General features: G+C 37.9%; 1 annotated feature.

Annotated features, from left to right (window-relative positions):
* Positions 4,446 to 4,865: an enhancer, noted in NCBI's record as "active region_28464". NCBI's record gives its function as "activates an Ori minimal core promoter by ATAC-STARR-seq in GM12878 lymphoblastoid cells {active_cell/tissue: GM12878}" and the evidence as "EXISTENCE:reporter gene assay evidence [ECO:0000049][PMID:35858748]".

The raw sequence follows: 5,840 nt of genomic DNA on the forward strand, positions 1-5,840 counted from the left end.
AGAAACGTCAAGATGTATCCAAATGATCTTCCCGGGTCCATAGTTGATACTCTATTATATAAAAGCTATCCTGGGTAAACTTTTTAGAGCAGCCTACATTGACCAAGTATGAGTGGCAATTTCAGGTTCCTTTTCTGGAAAAAACAGGATGTCTAATGGAGCAAAAGCTAAAATTGTGAGGACAGAAATCAGGTGTTCTGCAAATGGTTTCCTGGCAATGAAGGCTTAGGGCCAGAGAAGACACCATGGGTGCTCTTCCCTCTGATGGCTCTTTCACTACATTCATAGCTGCCTCAGTGTGCTCTCAGTCCCATGAGACAGCACCCTGTGATTATCAGTGGCTGCTGTATTAGTTTGCTAGGGGTGTCTTTAAGACTGGGTGTCTTAAACAATAAACATTTATTTTCTCAAGGTCCAGAAGCCAGAAATGTAAGATTAAAGCATCAGCAGGTTTGGTTTTTCTGAGAAAACTCTCTCACGTGGTATGGCAAGGAGAGAGGCCATTTCTCTTTAAAGGCCCTATCTCCAAAACAAGTCACATTCTGATGTACTGTGGGTTAGGACCTTAACTTATGAATCTGGGTGAGGGACCTGCAATTCAGGCTGTCACAACCACTTTATCTGCACAAAAGGGAACTAAATATGCCTGGAAATTTACATTCCCTCAGTCATAGCTCTAAATCAATGACTGGTAGGTGCACAGGTAAGACTTTACCTCTATTGACCAATTCAGAGTTGAGATCTATACTGTGCCCAGAAATGCATGGCAGGCTTGAACAAAAGATGTACTTCATTGGAAATTGCTTGATAATGCATCCTTTATTGGTCTTCTTCTGTTATTATTCCCATTTCTCTGTAATTTCTTGGGAATATACTCTAATACATAAGTTACACACAAATTTTCATCATAAGATTTGTCTTTCGAATGCTGTTATGGGTTGAATTGTGTCCTTTAAAAATATATCTTAAGGTCCTAACCTGTAAATATGACCTTATTTGGAAATGCAATCATTGTAGATGTAATTAAGGTAGGGTGAGATAATGACACTATGTTAGAGTGGGCCCTAAATCCAATATGAATGGTGCCATTATAAGAAGAGGGAAACTTGGACACAGAGATAGAGACACTCAGGGAGAATGTTATCTGACCACAAGGACACAAAAAGGAGAGTGCCATGTGAAACCAGATGTAAATATTGGAATGGTGCATCTATAAGCCAAGCAATGGCAAAGATTGCCAGCAAACCACCAGAAGGCAGGAGAGAAGCACAGGACATAATTTCGTTTGGAGCACCCAGAGGAAATCAACCCTACCGAGACCTTAATTTGGAACTTCTATCCTCCAGAAGTGTGAGAGACTAAATTTCTGTTGTTATATGCCAGCAAGTTTGTGGTACTTTCTTATAGCAACCCTAGGAAACTAATGAAGAAACGCAACTTGAAAATAGGTTATTTCAGAAGTGGTCCTAGGAAGCATACACTTAGGAAGGGATTCTGAGTTAGATCACTTGCCATCTGGATAACAACTGGATCACACTGTTGGAGATTAAACTGTTAAAAACTGAAAACTCTAGCACTGTCATTGCATAACTTTTGCCAGTGGTGAGTTGGCATGGGATACAGATGAAAGGAGACTACACATGCATTTCAGAGCTATGGGGGGATTTATTAATTATAAGATTTGGAAATTGGTTGGTTGTTGCTAAGTGTCATTGTGCCGAAGAAGAAAATTGACAAGCTCAGGTTTGTCCGTTACTAACCAGGGGCATGGTATGAAAGATTGGAGGACTCCAGGGCAGCATTTAAAGAAACCCATGCTTTCTATAGCTAGAAGACAGATTGAAAGGAAGACTGGATGATAAACTTTACTATAAAAGTAGTAGAAATACAACAAAAGATGAGTTAATAGCCTTGGCAAGGTTTTATGCTAAGTCAGAACCCTGATAGAGATGGTGCAGAGAATTGTAGGTGGATGTGCTCAAAATTATAGAACTCGCAGATTCCTTTGAACCCCTGGGCATATAAGAGTGGCTTATTTAGTTTTGCTGGAACATAGCAGCTTTCTCTTGCTTGAAGGCCACACCAAAACCTCAACCGAGATGGATGCCTTTGACGATGATATTTGTCCTTATCAAGATCTGACTTCACTTTCTCTCCTGTCTTCTAGTTCTGTATCTAAGTCTCAGCATGGGCCAACCAGGGAAGGGAAAAAATTACTCTCCAAAAGAACATCAAGACGTGATTAATTTGCAGCAAAAGGAATCAGGACAGCATGCCAGGAAGTATATCTTGATAGCGCTGGATTGGGGTGAGAGCTGGGGATAGTGAGAGAGAAGCTTGATAAAGGAACATTTGTCAACAAGGGAACATTCTTCCATGACTGAAAACTCCCTAACAAGAGCACCTGGGAATGGTTCTAATACGCTGCTTGGATGGTTACTAAAAGTTCTGTAGGGGGAAGAAAAAGGCTCACATTAAATTAAGCAGAGATGACAGAACTGCTTTAGCAGAGTTTTGAGGAAGGGCTCAAAAGGCTCAGAGAAGTGAGCATGCTAGAATGATTCTATTGTGTAACACCAGAGAGACTACCAGCTGATTATGTTCATTGAAGGGCCAGAGAACATTCTCATCACAAAGCTGATAAGGAATGTGCTATTGATGGAGGGATTGGCATATTTGAGAAGCTTAGTGATAGCTGGACCGAAGTTGACAGTAGGCAATACTGTTAGAGAACTGGGCTCCCTAGTGTCAATGGAAATGATTATATTCCAGAATATCAGGGGTCAAGTGCAATATAGTCAACCACTAGAGATCTATGGTGATGGCTGATATCCCAAGGTGTTTATCGAGAAAAAATAGATGGATAGACAACAAGAGCGTGGTTGGCTATACATAATCAAGGATGATTAAAACTGGATGAGCAATTGGAAGCCTCATGTCATCAATGCCCACGGAATATTACTTCTTGACCCAGTTTAAAAACCTGCACCAATTCTCAGACCCACAGAAGGAAGCTGCAATGCCACAAGCATACACAGCAGAGATTTCTGTGCATACAGTTGTATACATTTTAAAAATAATCCACTTATAATTTGAATTACAACCAGGGAGTCCACTATGCATATTCTAGTCTCTTTATCTTGGGTAATGATGCTTCTCGTCTCTGGAATACCCTTTGGCACCTTCTCTATGTGAGTGCTATTTCATGTTTTAAGGCTTACAGTAACCTTTCTCGATGACCTCTATCTCTTAGTAGAAATCACGTTCTCCAAACAGCTATCTTGTTCATTTAACATTTACTATATTCAGTTTTGAATGGTTGTTAAAATTTTTATGTAAATAAAAGTTTTTTGGAATTGTCCATTTGATATATTTAATTTATTCCATTTATTAAACTTGAAGTAGACCTTCGAGAATCAATTATTATTGATTCTCAAAATGCAAATATTATTATAGTTATCCCTTTATCCTAGATTGTTAATTGGTTGAATTATTTGAAATCCTTGAGATAAACTAAAATAGACAGGAATACTTAATACAGAATGATTAACTTGGGTAGATAGACAGATTAAACTTAGCTTTTGTTTAAAAGCTGGAATTCTAAGTAGTCAACATCAGATGAGTCAAATGAAAATTGATACCCATTGTAGAACTAATGAATGGTCTTGCAGTTTAAGTCCTTTCTTAACTCTGTCATCTTTTACTTTGTAATGACTAAAAAGCTACAATTACTATCACAGGAGTCTTCAGTATGTTACCATGCCAAAACTGGGAAATGTGGCTGGCTGTTTCCTAATGGAAAATTGTTAGCTTCTTGGCGACATGAAGAAAAGGATGTTGGGATTGCCCTTTCAGACATCAAAATTCATTACAAAACTTTAGAAATTAAGATACTGTGGTACCGGGAACGAGAAAGATCAAAAAATAGACGGAAGAGAACAGAGAAAATTGAAAGACATATCTATATGTCTATATCTGCACATACAAATATGCATATGCAATCACACATAGTTGATAAATCTCACAAGAAATAAAATTTAAAAGAAAGAATCAAAGTGAATATGGTGTTAGTAAAAAAAAAAGGCTATGAATTTTTGAATACTTTTTCCCAAGGTGGTGACATTCCAGCATATACTACAAACAAAAGAGGCCATTCACCGGATGATATCATCCCTTCAAAAATAAACTTATCCTCAATTTCCTGATTAAAATCAGACATTCTTCTGCTTGACAGAGGTCCTTACTTCCTGTTTTCTCTAGCATTTGCCAAGTGGCTCTGAGGACTTCGGTGTAAGAACACTCACTTAACTGTTCTGTAGTGCTGACTTTGAATACTTGAACAATAACCCACATTTCTAAATTTTCAATTTAAATAATGGTGCTTTTTGTTTTTAATTTTGCCTCATTTTCGAATCCTAAGGCTATTAGAACAACACCAAGATGACAGTGTTTCTGCTGTAACTTCCGTCTGCTTCTGCTTCTCAAAGTTGTGTAGTATAATTATTTCTATAGCAACCAGCCGAGGAAATGCCTTGCCAGCACACAGACTCAAAAGAGAAACATGCTGAGACAGGCTCAGCCGTGGGGCTTCGGAGCGCCTGGAGTTTCCAGCATTAAACGCTACAGCTGCAGAAGCCCATGCTGTTACCTTCTCTCCTCATCCGTTTTTAGTATTTGTAATATTTCTGGCCCTCCCACATCTTTGGCAATGTTTTCTAACGTCCCTCTTCTCTTTCTTCAGTGTTTTTCATAAGAACGGTCCTTTCATTTCTGTTTTATGACGTATAGTCTTCTGATAATAACACGATAAGCATTGTGGTGGTTCTGAACATACAACGAAATTAGAAAAAGTGGAATAATAAATAATTCACTTGTTTTCCTTCAGCTTCATAAGGTTTCTACTAATCTGTTTTCCTTATGGGCCAAACTCTTAGAGAAATTTGATCAGGTGCCTTTAAAAATATAGAAACACGTTCAGAGAACTTCAAAGAATACAAAAAATAATGTATTTCTTTTCCAAAATAACTTCACTTTCATCATAAAACATGAAAAATGGTGAAAGAATCATTTCCAAAAGAAAACCTAAACTTGTCTGATTTCAGGACACACTTTTATCTTTAAAAAATTTTTCCTTACTGTTGTGAAAGGAAAAGAAAAGCTCAGGACCCCAAATTCACTATGCCAAAAGGGAAGAGTTAAACTTGGAAGCTGAGTCATAAAAATAAATAAATAAATAAATAAATAAATAAAACAACCCAAATCTGCCTCTCCTTTTGTTCCTAAATTGACAGCTAATGTCTTCAGAGGGGGCATCCCTCACCCTGACAGTGTAAATTAACAGTTTATCTTCACTTCAAGGGTACAGAAGTGTAGGAAAATGACACGGTGAAATAGATGGGTACTCACTGGCAGCAGTTTCATCAATTCTAGCTTCAAATTGTCACCTAATGCCATTGTTTTATTCTGTAACCTATAGATTTACTTTGTAATGATTGATTCTGTAAAATTGAATTATAAGGTTTATTTTTGTTAAAGTTTTTTTTTTGTTTTTTTTTACTACTTTTAGTTTTTTTTGGGTTTTTTTTGGTTTTTTTTTTTTTTTTTTTTTTTTTTTTGTGACAGAGCCTTGTTCTGTCGCCCAGGCTCTGGAGTGCATTGGTGCGGTCTCAACTCATAGCAACCTCCACCTCCTGGGTTCAAGTGATTCTTCTGCCTCAGCCTTCTGAGTAGCTGGTATTACAGGCACCTGCCACCACGCCCAGCTAATTTTTGTACTTTTAGTAGAGACAGGGTTTCACCATGTTGCCAGGCTAGTCTCAAACTTGTGACCTTGGCCTCCC

This window comes from Homo sapiens, chromosome 9 (genome assembly GCF_000001405.40).
Source record: "Homo sapiens chromosome 9, GRCh38.p14 Primary Assembly".
Taxonomy (NCBI): domain Eukaryota; kingdom Metazoa; phylum Chordata; class Mammalia; order Primates; family Hominidae; genus Homo; species Homo sapiens.